The following is a 16424-nucleotide window of genomic DNA, read 5'->3' on the forward strand; positions in this document are numbered from 1 at the left end:
CATCTCATGAGTTTAGGTCAGGCCCTTTTAGGTGGTCTCCCTTTCTTAAATTCAACTGTGCCATATAGTATAGCCCAATTATAGAAGTGATATCCCCAAATACCCATGATATTAAGGATTATAGAGGGCATGGGTATACTAGGAATGGGACTTTTAGGGAACATCTTAGAATTCTGCCTGCAATATACATCAAAGGCCTTAAGAATTAATCTGCCAAAGCCTAAACCAAGGGTCTATTACACTAGTCCAAAATGCCAAGTCTTATAACTTATAAGAAACTGGTACATATGTTAAAGGCATTGTTCAGTTATCCTATAAATTTATAATTTTAGAACAAAGGTTTTCTATTCTACAGATGAGATAAATTCTAGGCTGAAACAGGCAGAAACACACACATAGGAGATTTAAAAAAATATGAAGAATCTCATCCTACCATTTTCCATGTGCTTTACTTACCATGGATTTTTTTCTTTAACTGTACCCTATATTGGTTACGTTAGTAGTATTTAGTCAGAATGTTTCATATGAAATCAAGAACATTTGAAACAACTCACCTTAATATATAAAAATGAGATAAATATGCTTACCACGAGTCACTGAAATCTGGACTTCCAGGACTGCATGAAGAAATTCATGTCATGAGTAACTCTATTAATCTATTCACATGACTGGATCTATCATCTTTACTTTACATCACCCCATAAGAAATTGTGTGCTGTTTTTTTTGCTTGTTTGAAAAGCAATTCATTTTAATTTGTTAATATCTGAGCTAAAGTTCTTCTAAATTTTGTTCCTCATGTCATCTTATTTACTTTATCATATATTTTTGTTTTTGTATTTCTTTTTTTCTTAGATAATGGATGAGTGAGTTGGTTGATTTCTTGTTACTAGGTCTACCCTATAAATATTTTAAAAAACTACAGGTTTTATTTTAAGTGCATTAGAGTTATTATAGCATATGTATATGCCTATTTATATCTGTATCTATACCGTCTACCTACAAACTGGTTTTTCTGATCATGAGTTCATCACCAAGGAATGTTAAGTAAGGGATAACTAATATATTTCAGTCAACCACAAGGGATTGTTAGTGGCTCTCTGGATCCCTCACTCACTGAGTATTCTAAGTTTGGTTTGAAGTAAAATTTCTCAGAAAGGACTCTGTGTAAAATTAGAATTGTTTGTATGTGGTAAAGGCTGAAGTATGTAAAGACGCAATGCTTTATATTTGGTATTTCACATTATATTTGGCATTCCACAGGAAGTTGTTGTTCCAGAAAACACAGATACTAAGATAATATTGTATATTAAGTAATGTTTATACAGATATGTTTGTTAGCTTAAATTTCTTGATGTCATGAAAAATGTCCGAACCTCATGAGAATGCCTACAGCTTTATGGGCAGTGAAAATGATCCTGATGGTAAGGAATGGGTTAAAAGAGCTCTGCAGATATAGTCATTTTTTTCATTTTTGCCTAGAGAAGCCATGATCCCAAACAGCATTTTTTTTTCTATTGTGTATTTGGACTTGTGAAAGGAATAAATAGCACCCTTGAAACCATTCCCAAAACCTACTCAAAATAGAAGATTCAGTTATAGTGATCATCAAATCTCTCTGATCCTCTGGAATAGTTTGGGGGGAAATGACAAATAAGTTTGAACTAAAATGTTTAATTTGATAGATAAATTCAGAAATGCACTAACTTTTTTTTAAAAAAATGTGTTTTTATGCAAGATGAAAAAAGAAGCAAGGCAGATGAATTAACCACTGAAAAACTTTCATCTTATATTCTACATTGATGCATCACATTGGAGATGTAGAAGTCACATAGGCCAAGATTGTTGTTATCAACCATAAATTCTCAACAGAAAATCCTGTTAACAGACAGAATCCATACAGTGAAATAAATCAAACAGTGAATATTAATAAAGACTTAGAGTCACAATCAAATGTGCAGAAGAAAAATAATCTGCTGTAGAGCCTAAACTTTACTAAAGAGAGGAAAAATGGGAGGGAAAGATGAAATGAGGGTCAAAAGAGGGTGAGGGTGAAAGTAAGAGAGAGAAGGGGGAGAGGGGAGTAGATTTTTAAAATCTATCACATTGTGAAAATCTGACTCTTGTATTCATAAGGCAACATAAACAATATTGAAAAATTTTAGTATCTTCTTAGTAAAGATATATCTAAGTTCAATACAAGTTAAATATACGATTTCATCTAAATATTTTCTATCCTTGGTTATCAAAAGTAGTTATTCTAAGAAGATTTACACTTTAAAGATTGCCCAAAATATGTTATGATCCTTTAAAGGTGATGTAATTTCTCTTTTTGTTTATTTATAGTTAATTAGTCTTTGTCAGTGTTGCACATTAGTTACACTCCTGCATTTCAAGGTCTGTTTGCTTTCTGATTCATAAAGATTAGCCTGTATCCTTTAGTTATATTAAAAGACTTGTATTTAATTAGGAACATGTCATATCAGATTTATGGAATGGGCTACAACCTTGCCAATTTCTACATTACTGCCGGAGAGACAATCAGTTATTTAGGGAAGCACATTCACTGTTGAGCTACAGTGGAGTTCCAAACTATTGTTCTTTCTCTCTATTATTATTTTCTTCTAGTTTATTTCAATCTCACATCTTTCTCCTTTACCCCAAATTTTCCACATCATTGCGTGCATACCATTTTAACTCTTTTCCTTGCTGATTGACTTTTTCTAATTTTCTCTGTTCTAACTTCACAGAAATACATTTTTATGTTCAATTTGGCAATAAAATTTGAAGGAAATAACATGAGCTTTAAAAAAACAAAAGACTAGCCAGGTGCAGTGGCTTACACCTGTAATCCCAGCATTTGGGAAGGCTGAGGGGGGTGCATCACGAGGTCAAGAGATCAAGACCATCCTGGCCAACATGGTGAAATCCCATCTCTACTAAAAATACAAAAATTAGCTGCGTGTGTCCTAGCTACGAGCCTGTAGTCCTAGCTACTCGGGAGGCTGAGGCAGGAGAATTGCTTGAACCCAGGAGGCGGAGGTTGCAGTGAGCCAAGACTGCGACACTGCATTACAGTCTGGGAGATGGAGCAAGACACTGTCTCAAAAAAAAAAAAAAAAAAAAAAGGGCAAAAGACTGTTCCGGTATTAACCTCCAAAAGATTGAACATGTTTTGGAGAAAAGGTTAATATGAAATTATTAACATAAAATCTTTCTACTTATAAAAAAACCCAAACATCTATTTGAGGAAAACAGACCCAAGTCATTCCTCATCCTATGCTTTTTAAAGTTTCAAGAGTAGGAGGATCGATTACCTCAACTTTATCAACAGGTATGTTTTCATAGTTGTACAAATTATCCAGGTCTTCTAAGGTGGCATCATAGGTTTCTGAGTCATAGTTGATGGACTCTAGAGTTGGGGCAGTCACAGCAGCATCAAAGATGACAAGTCCCAGAACAAGTCCTGCTAATGTCTTCATTTTTCAAGCTTTCCTAATTATAAAATATTAAAATGCATAAATATTTAATTGATAACTTATGAATAGTTTGCACTAAATAGAAATGATAAATTAGTGTCAATATCAAAGAACTCAAGCTGGTAGCTTTCCTTCCATGGATAATTTATAAACATAACACACAAAATCATCTGATTTCCTAGGACCATTGCTGCCAGATGTTCAAATTAATTCACAAACCTGTCTCTAATTTTACAGTGGATATTTTAATTACAGTAAAATTTTATTTTATTTTATAGAGAAAAACAGAGCTTATTCACAAAAGCTTTTCATCATCTAATAATTTTACCATTTAATAAACATTAAGATCCTTCATCAACTCTGGGATATGAAGTTGAAGATGATAAGGATAATGATGATGACGGTGATGATGACTGCAACTGTCATACCATTTTATAGGTGAAGAAACTGAGGCAGAGTTGACTGGTAATGCAACTAGGATATCCACAAATAATTCCAATTTCAGTGATCCACAGTGTGGCTTAGGCATTGGGGTTTTAAAAATAATTTTAAAAATAGGACTCATAACTGTTTCTTGTACATTTAAGTCTAAGGCCTTCTTCAGAACAAAGTAACAAAGTTTTGTTTGTTTTTTCTGTTACTTCTTTGTAGCCTCTGGACATATAAATACATACATTGTTTAATATGTACGTTAGTATTTCATGCAATATTGTTCAAAATGCTCCTAATGAAATAGAATAGAAAAAAAATTTCCTTTAGTCCTCAGTATTTTATTTAATTCTTAATAGCTATCTAAGATTTGAACTCAGAACCAACAGGAATACATGTTTAAAAGGCACTATTTGGTAAGATTCCCTTGTATGCCTGTGGGATTATAGCCATCTTTGTTTTTTAATTCCTTAATAAGCACAATTCTTATTTTCCATTATAACATTATGCTTTTTGAGGATTCAATCAAGATCCTATAATTTAATTATTTTTTTAGTTCTGTATGTACTCATTTGAATACATTTTGGTTTAGAAAAAAAATCTTCACATTTAATTTGAAACATTTAAGTTAGTCTTACCAAAATGTTACCTAGTGATCCCTTATTGAGCAGGCAAAGTATTGTAAAATTCTGTATCAAGCATGTCTAATTTTAGAGGCTTTTACATTTGGACACACTTCTTGGGTTTACTTTAAGAACAGTACCTGTGGTGTTACTACCTATGCATACATATAAAAGGGAATTCATGATAAATATTACTTTTAAACTTGAATGCACTGGCAGACAAAATGACCTTCAGTTACTTGAAAGAAAGCCTTTATGAAGCAGGTTTAGGCAGAAGGATATGAAATTCCTCTGAGAATAAGAAGCAGTACAAGGAGCTCCTTCTTAGCTCTCCTATGCTTTCTTCAAATAAATTTCTTATTCACACAGGATAAACTAAGCCTCTATTTCAGTTGCCTTTGCAGAAGTCTTTGCAGGATTGCAGATTTGGAACTGTTCTAGGCAATTACCAACAAAGTCCTACTTAATAAAACAGTGGGTTTGCAAATCTTCCAGGAACCATTCTCCCATAATCAAGTTGGAAACATTAACAGAAGCCACTACCAACTTAAAAAAAATTTTTCCTTATATGTTTCTGGCAACTTCCATTATTCAAAGAAATTATACACTTGCTGGCCTTTTTTCTCACATCATACTATATTTGATTACATATAGCTACATCTCAGAATTTGCTTGCATTTTGCATCACTCCTAGAGCTATCAACTATAAGGCAGGCTGTGTGAATCTTAAAAATATATACAGCATCTATCTATGTTTAGTTAAAAAATTTATATTCCTTTCTTCAAGTAATTGTATTAGCATTTAATGTAGTTTCTTAATTAACACTTTAATTTTGTGTTCACTTTATACCATTTATTAATATTTTAAAATTTGTGTATTTAAAACTTTCAATATATAGCTCAAAAAAATTTTAAATGCATAATGTCATGTAATCATTACAATACTTTTAATCTCAGGAAATTTCACTATTTCCTCCCTTTTCACAAAATTTCAATTAATATCAATCAATAGTGCCTGTCTATACTGGCAAAGAATGTGGTCTGTGTCAGGAAACTTTACTTAAGGCATATATTGGAAACTACTCTAATTTTATTGGCATCTGTCATGACTACTGAGATTAACTATTTGCTGTATGTTATTAATTCCTAAGCTAATTCAAAATTTTGGATTTTCCAAGAATAATATAAATACAAAGTCAATAACAAAAATAAACCAAATCCATTGAATCAAAATTCACCAGATGACATTAAGGCAAGTTAAATTATTTTTTAAAGGTTGTTATAGTAGGGAAAGAACTCTGACCCAAGAAGAAAGCAAGTATAAAAACTTACCTTTGGCTCTGACCTGATGAAATGGCACAAAGTGACTGAGGATGCAGAGCTAGTGGTATTTGCCCCTGACCAATGGCTGTGAATTCTGGTCTGTGGGAGGTGGAATTTATAACACTCAACTTTCTGTTTGCAAAACCTAATATTGAGAAATACTTCTCAGTCTTTAAAAAACCTCAAATTATTTTATAGTCACCCAAACTAAGCAGTAGGATCCAAATCACATAGTATACAAAGTTCTTGAAATTATGTTAATGGAGTTATAATTGCCAAAGTATCACCTTAAAATTTTTAAATGGAAAAAGTTGGATTTAACATACCTCATCTGTAACAAACTCACCAATTAAGAAATGAAGTTCATGTATACAGTGATACTATAGATGGATATTTTAGTTCTAATAAGAAATAATTTTCCCAAAACTTGAAGTCTTGAATTGCTTTCTTCACTTTTCATTAATGTTAAGTGAAATTTGGTAAATGTTGCAGAAACCTTACCTGTTTAATATTGGGTAAGTAAAAAAAGATATCCCAATTATTTTGATTGCATGGAATGCTTTGATAGCAAAACAGGGAAAAATGAACCTTTTGCATAACTTTAAAAAAATTACATCCAGAAGTGATGCATAAATATGATCTGCGTGTTTTGGGGAGAAAAGGGGCTTTTTTTAAAAAAAGTTATTGTATCTATCATAGACAAATAAATCAAATTACACATTTTTTCCTTAGAATAGGAGCTTTATTTTAAGCTCTTGTTAACTTCCATGGTTTGTAAAATTGAACTTTAATACAAATATGAAGAGAAAAAATATGCTTTAAATTTCCATACCTCAATTTTACATTGTATAAGTCCTAGAGAAAGGTGAAAGTTGCATCTTGTATTCTGGTATGCTTTAGATAAATCTAGGAATTTGGTTCTCACTTATGCTTCAGGAATCTTTTCCTTCATGTCTGCAAGTGAATAGATGTATTGAATTTTGAAAGCGGTATTACTCCTGGGCCAAGTGATGGGAGAGAAGAAGGTTTGTCTTTAAGGTTCTCTCACTCCCCTTCCTGCCTCTGCTCCCATCTTCCCTGCCCTCAAAATGTCTTTGCCCATCTATTCAGGGCATTCTTATTTGTCATCCCCATCATCCAACCCTGTTTCCAAATGATTTGTTCTTAGTATGCATTGTTTTTCTCAAAAACAATTTTATTTGGAGCAGAAACAGTGATAATGGGTAATGTATGAAGTCTACCAAGACCTCTCAAAAAATAGAGAGGCCATCTTGGAGACAGGAACTTATTTCTGGCATCTGTGAAGTCTCACCCCACCATATAAAGGCCACTTTTAGAAGCAGTGCTGGAAAGATGCCTGAATCCAAGTTTCTAGGCTTGTCCTCTTTAGAAGCAAGGTCCACGTGGGGTGTCAGGTGATTTCATATATGATTGTTAATCACCTCAACACATTCTTAAGCAGAGTGCTTACCACTATTCACAGATGGGACTACTGAGACTCAGATGATAAATGATACAGCACCATGTGTGACACAAAAAAAGAGGAAATCAACTTGGCTTTTCTCTGTGTCAGGTCCCTAGACATGATTGAGTCTGTCTGAGGGATACGTGTATACACAAAAAGGCAGTGTTAGCTCTCAGTTCCACGCATTTCTGATTCAAAGCCTATTTATCTGTCACTAGCTTCAGGCTCTGCTGAATGTTTTAGAAGAAACAACAGATTCCTTGAGTATCTATGAAAATACCAACTTTCTTCCTTTTCCCTCAATATTTGATCTAGTACTCTGTGCACCTTGTTAGGTGACAGAGAGGTGAGAGCTACCTAGCTTCTTGCTTTCTGGAGGGCTCTGGTTAAACTTACAAGACTATTTCCAGAAATATTGTTTCGACACTATCCTTTGTTGAACTGTTGGTGTTTAAATTGTGTCTTCCTTAGGCTTCAGAACACTGTGCAGTTGAAGTCCGATTTTCATGACAATTTAAAGGCCAAACTACTTGCCTTTGTGTAGCATTGCAAGCAGAAATGATCATTCTTGAACCTTTTCTTCCTCCAAATAAATACGATTTTTACATTTCCTTGTAACAGTTGATTTCTTAAATCATTTCTCTATCTTATTGGGACCCTCTCCAATATTTCAAAATCTATTTTGAAGTGTGAGCCCTCAAATTGGTTACAATCACTCGAGGACCTAATCAAGACTGAGCAGTGAGGAAGGATAAGTTACCAGCTCCAGCCTTTCTTATCCTTGGTGAATATCTTCTAGTCTCATGATAATTTTCTTAGTAGTGCCCATGCTTGGTTATTAGAAACCCTTGGGTGATCAGTTATTATGACTCCTGGCATTATTTAGAAACAGAGGCTTTGCAGCTTTATCTCTTTAAGCCCCAAAACACTTTACAAAACCTTTTGACTGTAACTCTTTACAAAATTAATTAAACACCGCTCTGCTTGCTTAAACAGAATTAATTTTAAACTAAACACAGTTTTCTCCCAGTGATTACTTTCTCTCTGTTCTACAGCAAAGGTGAGCAGACACTGTGAGGACAGCCCCGTGCTGCCTGCCCTTGCCCCTGACTTCAAAAGGTGACATTATTAAGAGCTATGGGAGGGTGTAGATATTCCACCTCACTGATTATAAGGGAAAACAAAAAAAAAACAACAACAAAAATTCACTGCAATGATTACCTATCTTCCAAAAAAGAACTATTAAGATAAGCCTCATGTTGTCTCAGAGGCCTCCTACTCAGCAGAAATCCAAAGCCCCAGGCCTTCATATCACCATAAACCCACATGTACCATGCTGATTTTATCCAATCTTCTCCTCCCAGTATCTTTCAAGCCTTCTCTGCAATATTTGTCTCAGCTTCTTTCAGAAAATCTTCCTTTATTTCCATTACCTTAAAAGAATCTGGCTGTCTCCTGACAAAGGTTTTCCTCTGCAGTCCTTTCAAAGTGGTGGTTGGTTGGCTGTTCGTCCTCCCCCACATAATTTAAGAATGGAGAGTTTTTTTGTGCTCTGCATTTTCTCTCCGAAATGATCTCTTTACTTTTTCAAAAACATTATTCATTCTGAAACTCAACATGTGGCTTAGTTACCCACAACATCCTCCCTGTCATCAGCTGCTAGACATCCTTGTCCAGCTCTTTTATGGTTGATGACTTTTGCAACTGGTTCATTCATTCCCTCCATACATGTCCATCATCATTCACAATTACATGAACCTCCATGTGTGATCCATCTATCATGGTGGCCTGGTGGTTGCTTTGTCTTCTCACATGTAGAAGTTACCACATTCCTACCCAGCCTCTCACCATCATTGTTGAACCCATCAGCTTGTTATCACCAGGCATTATATAACCTACCAGTAGGGTACTGTTATCATTTGTCTTTTTGCCTCATGAGACTTTCATTCCATAGACCTCATCACTTTTTTACCATCCATTAAAACTTCTATCTTCACTTTCTCCTTACCCTTGGATTCCATGGGCCATTATCATAATTACTCCCTTTCAAACACTTTTGCTCTTTCTCTTTTCCCTTCTATTATACTCACCAGGGAAAACCTCAACTTTGGTTTAGCACAACTCCCAAGTGTCTCCCATTCTGCATCTGAGAAACTGTATATTACTAGTGAAGATCACATACAATGACAATTGGTTTCACTTCAAGTTCTTTCAGATAAGCTTCAACCTTGGCTGGCAGATCTAGTGTGTTTCTAACGTTGATCCCCTTTCCAACATTAAGATGAATATTTTATAACATAATTTCTGTCTTCAAAGATCCTATATTCCATTTCTCTGCACTGAAAAGATAGAAGTCATCAGAGAAATAGTTAACTTTCCACTATCAAATTCACCTGCACTTCTGCGTATCTTCTTTGACTTCCCTGTTACAACAGTGCAAGAAGTAAAAAATAAATTCCCATTCCTAGGCTCCTATTCCCTTTTCTCTTCTCAAGGGTTGTGTTTATTCAGTTGTCTCCTCCTTCTACGTAAAGTATCCCATGCTTCTACTAGATCGATTCCATGTAAATGCACACATTCTCTGAGCATGGGGTCAGGCAGGTATTCTATATAAACCAAATGAACTGAATTAAAGTCAATCGAAAGTGGTAGATACAACAGCAAATTAGAGAGAACATGCTAAGTCTAAAGGAATTCAAAATCAAATGATTTAAAATTACTATAGAATCCAAAAATGTATCTGCAGATTTAATTCAGTCTATAAATCCTTCAAATTTGATTTCTGCAATTATGCTTTTTTTTTAACAATATAATGGCCCTTGAAGTCTACATTTTCATCTGCTACAGTCCTATTTTTAAGTGCCCTTTTTCAGAAAAATAAATTCCCAAATAAACAGTATGCATTGGCTGTTTCTGCTTGCTCTGTTCCCATTCACTCATCATTTCACTGCAGTCTGGGTTCTGTATGAATGGTTTTCTGGCTTTGTCTTAATTAATGTCCCAGCAGCCTACCTTGGTCTTGATGTGGTTTTTCTCTGACCACATGAGCTATGCTTTCTCAGTTTCTTTGTTTGCCTTCTTTTTCTTGACCCAACCTCTAACTTTTAGAGTGCCTCAGGTTTTAATCATATGATTCATCTTTTCTCTAGTTATCCTTTCTCTGTGGGTGACCTCACCTGCTTCCATGCTATAATTACAACAAAAACAATAATATGTTAACAATAACTAGTTTTGAATACATACTATGAGCCTGACATTGCTTATTATCCTCATCTATGGAAGAGGAAACTAAGGTCCAGGGAGGTTAAGTGACTTCAACAAATAAGAAGCAGAGCCAAAATCAAAGCTGAGCAGTCTGGCAGCAAAGCCCAAGTTCTTAACCACAACACTGAGCTAACATTTTATGTGTAAATTGTCCAGCTTTACATCCTCAGCCCTCATGTTTTATTCTGAGTCAAAGATTCATATATGCCGTTGACTACTTAGAACTTGACATCTTCACTTGGATGTCTAATTAGAAAATCACAATACACCTGATATGATGGCTTTTAGACCCACTCTAAGCTTTGACCGTCTCCTCTTCCCAGTGATTAGGTGGTATCACATTACCCTAGTTGGCTCCAGCCCAAAGCCATAAAATTGCTATTGATTTCTTCCATTTCCTAATGTTTCCCCCTCCATCCAATCTATCAAAAGAAATTAATTCTACTACAGATGTATCTCATTTCACAATCATCTCTCTCTGGTACTACCAGAAAAGCATATTACCAAGTCTTCCTGCTTCCTTTTTTTTCTGTTTCTATCATTCATTCATCAAACACGAGCCAGAGAGATAAAGAAAAAACTACATAAAACTCCACATTTTCTGTCTGTGTGTTTTATCTACTTTATTTTATTTTTAAATTATATTGCTTGATTTTTTTCATTATAAAGTTCTGGGATACATGTGCAGAATGTGCAGGTTTGTTACATAGGTATTCACGTGCCATGGTGGTTTGCTGCACCCGTCGATCTGTCATCTACATTAGGTATTTCTCCTAATGCTATCCCTCCCCTAGCCCACCACCCACTGACAGGCCCCAGTGTATGATGTTCCTCTCCCTGTGTCCATGTGTTCTTGTTGTTCAATTCCCACTTATGAGTGAGAACATGTGGTGTTTGGTCTTCTGTTCCTATGTTAGTTTGCTGAGAATGATGGTTTCCAGCTTCATCCATGTCCCTACAAAGGACATGAACTTTTTTATGGCTGCATGGTATTCCATGGTGTATATGTGCTACATTTGCTTTATCCAGTCTATCATTGATGGGCATTTGGATTGGTTCCAAGTCTTTGTTACTGCAAACACTGCTGCAATTAACATACATGTGCATGTGTCTTTATAGTAGTATGATTTATAATTCTTTGGGTTTATACCCAGTAATTGGATTGCTGGGTCAAATGGTATTTCTGGTTCTAGATCCTTGAGGAATTGCCACACTGCCTTCCACAATGGTTGAACTAATTTACACTCCCACCAACAGTGTAAAAGCATTCTTATTTCTTCACATCCTCTCCAGCATCTGTTGTTTCCTGACTTTGCAATCATCGCCATTCTAACTGGTGTGAGATGGTATCACATTGTGCTTTCGATTTGCATTTCTCTAATGACCAGTGATGGTGAGCTTTTTTTCACAGGTTTATTGGCCACATAGATGTCTTATTTTGAGAAGTGTCTGCTCATATCCTTTGCCCACATTTTTTTTTCTTTGCAAACATTGAATAGCTTCACATTTCTCTTTGAGTGAAATCAAAACTCAAGCCATGGCCTGCAAAGCTCCCCATCAGCTAGATCCTCCCTATTTTTCCAAGCTTAGGTCAAGCACCTCTTCCTCAGTCACTCTACTTCAGTCATGTGGGTGACCTTTCTGTTCTGGAATCAAGCCAAATCAGTGTATCCTCAAAATACTGCACTTAATATTTGTTTCCACACTTTAGAATGGCTGCCTCACTTTTTAAACTTCTGCATAAATATCCCCTCAAAAGAGGCTTCCCCTGACCCCCTCCACATCAAGGTAGACCCTCTTCCTTCCCATTATAGTCTACACAACCTCCACATTTGTTTCTTTATAGCTCTTGCCATATTCTGTTATGTTTTTCTATTCTTACATATGTCTGTCCAAGGTGAATAAATATACTTTACTGGTCAGATTTACAGTTGTATTCTCAGTGCCTAAGATAGTCCTTGACTCAAAGTTTATGCTCAGTATTTTTGAATGAATTAATCAATTAATGAAATCATGAATTAATAAATAATGAATAACCATTATGATTTGCTTGAGCTATTCTAATATATAGAAGGTTGTTTGTATTTATGATAATGATAACAGGTTCTTGACCAACACACTAAATTAATTCCTTTTCCTGTTTTTTTAATTACTTTTTTTCTGTTATTTCTAGCCAAACTACCAAGCTGTTCAGTGACACTTTTCAAGCTGCTATTCATGGGCTTCTGGAAGTGAGGTTTTACTTTTATTTGCTGCTAAGACTTTCTTATGTCACCTACAAAGATACATGGCATGGACTTTTGATGAGAATCTGAAAGAGTTTCTGTACCACTTAAGACTCTGTCTGGCTAAAAGTTAAGAAAACCAAAAATCAAACTGGCTTAGGAAAAGATAATTGATTTGCCCAAGTAACAGAAAAGTACAAGTTTCTTTTTCAAGAAAGCTTCCTTTTGTAAGCATCATTCTCAGATGGGTTTCCAAATGGAGGAGATGGCTACAGCTGCTCTGTATCTTACAATTTTTTTCAGGTTGAAATCCAGAATTGAGGAATTATTTATTCTAGAAAGCCCTCCAAAATATTTTCTTTGTGTAGTCGATTCTGATCAAACTACATACTCATCACAAAAAAGCAGGGGGGTGGGATTTGGGGGAATTAAGAGTCCTAATTCGCTGAATCTTCATGTCATTCAAAGCTCTACTCAAATGTCAAATGTTACTTCAGTTGCTTCTTCCGTGACCACTTCATTTAAAATATATACAACTTCATTATAACACTTAGAACTATATGACATGATTACATAAATTATTAGTTTATGTATATCCTCCACCAGAATGTTATCTCCATGAAAACACGGTTTATCATTTTTGTCTACTGCTGTATTCCTAGCCTATAATACATAGCAGGCATTCAGCAAGTATTTGTCAGTTAAATACATGAACTGACTTAGACCTTAGGACAAATGCTTTCATCCCTTAGTTTTAAGAGAACTAAAAAAAGGGTGGAGTGGTTCTCAGCAGGGACTAGTAAAAGAATAGCAAATGGATCATGAGTAGTAGTAGTCTTTGAACCTTAGCACGTGGCCTTTCTGACACCTGTTTTGGCTAAGCTGAAGCCTCTAGCATTTCTCAGTCTTATCTGTGTTCCAAATGAATTGGATGCAAGATACTCATAGTTCAATTGATAAACAATATGTTATAGTAATATTATTAAATCTCTGCTTCATGAATAGCATGTGGTACACTGTATTTATCATATCACTTTTCACAATACACATGCTATATCAATAATAAAATAATAGTTACAGTCAACCACTATGAATACTCATTTTATCATTATAATTTGGGCTTCAGATTCTTCTCTTTTACTTGCCTTTTTTATATTACTTTTTTTTAAAAAGCTTATTGTTTTGGTATGCATCATGTCTTTTATCATTATAAAAAGAATAAGAACTAGATATGTTATTCTCTTTGTGGCTATTTTGAATAGGATTGCATTTTTTGATTTAGCTCTCAGCTTGGATATTATTGATGTATAGAAGTGCTACCGATTTTTATGTGTTGATTTTGTATCCTGAAACTTTGCCGAAATCTTTTATCAGATCTAGGAGCCTTTGGGCAGAGCGCAGAGACCATGTGGTTTTCTAGGTATAGAATCATATCACCTGAAAAGAGAGAGAGTTTAATATCCTCTCTTTCTATTTGGATGCCTTTTCTTACATTTCTTTCTCTTGTCTCCTCTGGCTAGGACTTCCAGAACTATGTCGAATGGGATGGGGAAAGTGGGAATCCTTGTGTTGTTCCAGTCCTTAAGGGGAATGCATCCAGCTTTTGCCTGTTCAGTATGATGTTGGCTGTGGGTTTTTTCATAGCTAGCTCTTATTACTTTGAGATATGTTCCTTTAATGTCTAGTTTGTTAAGCGTTATTAACATGGAGGGATGTTGAATTTTATTAAAAGCCTTTTCTGCATCTATGGGAATGATCATGTGGTTTTTGTTTTTCAGTTTTATGTGATGATTTACATATGTTGAACCAACCTGGCATCCCACGGATAAGGCCTTCTTGATTGTGGTGGATTAGACTTTTGGTGTGCTGCTAGATTCGGTTTGCTAGTAGTTTGCTAAGGATTTTTGCGTCTATGTTGGTCAGCAATATTAGCCTGAAGTTTTCTTTTGTTGTTGTTGTGTTTCTGCCAGGTTTTGGTATCAGAATGATGCTCGCCTCATAGAATGAGTTAGGAAGTAGTTCCTCCTCCTTGATTTTTTGGAATAGTTTCAGTAGGATTGATACCAGCTCTTCTTTATAAATCTTGTGGAATTTGGCAGTGAATCCATCTTGTCCAGGACTTTTTCTGTTTTTTTTTTAATTAATGATTCAATTTAGGAATTTGTTATTGGTCTGTGCAGTTTTAATTTCTTCTTGATTCCATCCTGGGAAGTTATTTGTTTCCAGGAATTTATCCATTTATTCTGAATTTTCTAGTTTGTGTGCATAGTGGTGATTATAGTTGTCTCTGAGTGGTTTTTGTTTGTTTGTTTTGTATTTCTATGGGGTCAGTGATAATGTATCTTTTGCCATTTCTGATTGTGCTGTTTGAATCTTCTCTCTTTTTTATTAGTCTAAGTAGCAGTCTATCCATCATATTTATTCTTTCAAATATCCAGCTTTGAGTTTTGTTGATGTTTTGTATGGGTTCTCACATCTCCATTTCATTCAATTCAGCTCTTTTTTTTTTTTTCCTGCTAGCTTTGGTGTCAGTTTTCTCTTGATTTTCTAGTTCCTCTAGGTATGATGTTAGGTGGATCATTTGAATTATTTCTAATTTTTTTGATGTGTGATGTAGAATATCTCTACTATAAGAATTACAAAACGCTGCTGAAAGAAATCAGAGATGACATAAACAAATGGAAAAAACATTCCATGCTCATGGATAGGAAGAATCAATATTGTTAAATGACTATATTGTCCAGAGGAATTTACATGTTTAATTATATTCCCACAAACTACCAACAACATTTTTTTCACAAAATTAGAAAAAACTATTCTAAAATTCATATGTAACCAAGAAAGTGCCTGAATACTGAAAGCAATTCTAAGCAAAAATAACAAAGCTGGAAATAGCACACTACCCAACTTCAAACTATAATAAAAGGCTACAGTAATCAAAACAGCATGATACTGGTACGAAAACAGACACATAGACCAATGGAACAGGTTAGAGAACCGAGAAATAAAGGTGAACACCTACAACCATCTGATCTTCAAAAAATTGAAAGAACAAGTAATTAGGAAAGGACTTTGTATTTAATAAGTGGTGCTGAGATAACTGGCTAACCATATGCAGAAGATTGAAACTGAACCCCTTTCTTTCATCATATACAAAAATCAACTCAAGATGGATTAAAGACTTAAATATAAAACCAGAAACAAAAAAAAAACCTAGAAGAAAACCTAGGAAATACCATTCTTGACACAGACCCTGGCAACATTTCATGATGAAAACTCCAAAAGCAATTGCAACAACACCAAAAGTGATAAGTAGGACCTAATTAAATTGAAGAACTTCTGCACAGCAAAATAAACTATCAACAGAGTAAACCGACAACCTACAGAATGGGAGAAAATATTTGGAAACTATGCATCTGACAAAAAAGCTAACCTGGAATCTATAAGGGATTTAAACAAATTAAACAGCAAAAAGAAACAAACCCCATTAAATGGGCAAAGTACATGAACAGACACTTCTGAAAAGAAGACATACACATGATCAACAAGCTTATGATAAAATGCACCACGACTAATTATTAGAGAAATTCCAATTAAAACCACAATGAGATACCATCT

The 16424-nt window shown here is 34.8% G+C and overlaps 1 protein-coding gene across 1 annotated transcript in view; it reads right to left on the reverse strand.

Annotated features, from left to right (window-relative positions):
* Window positions 1–5887, reverse strand: part of EPYC (epiphycan) — a 41291-nt gene extending 35404 nt beyond the window's left edge. The window contains exons 1-2 of the mRNA NM_004950.5: window positions 5862–5887; window positions 3316–3493 (exon numbers count right to left, since the gene is read on the reverse strand). Of these exons, the coding sequence (NP_004941.2) occupies window positions 3316–3480 (165 nt within the window). The 5' untranslated portion in view covers window positions 3481–3493; window positions 5862–5887. The remainder of the gene's footprint in view (window positions 1–3315; window positions 3494–5861) is intronic.
* Between the last annotated feature and the right edge of the window lie 10537 nt (window positions 5888–16424).

This window comes from Homo sapiens, chromosome 12 (assembly GCF_000001405.40).
Source record: "Homo sapiens chromosome 12, GRCh38.p14 Primary Assembly".
Lineage (NCBI taxonomy): Eukaryota > Metazoa > Chordata > Mammalia > Primates > Hominidae > Homo > Homo sapiens.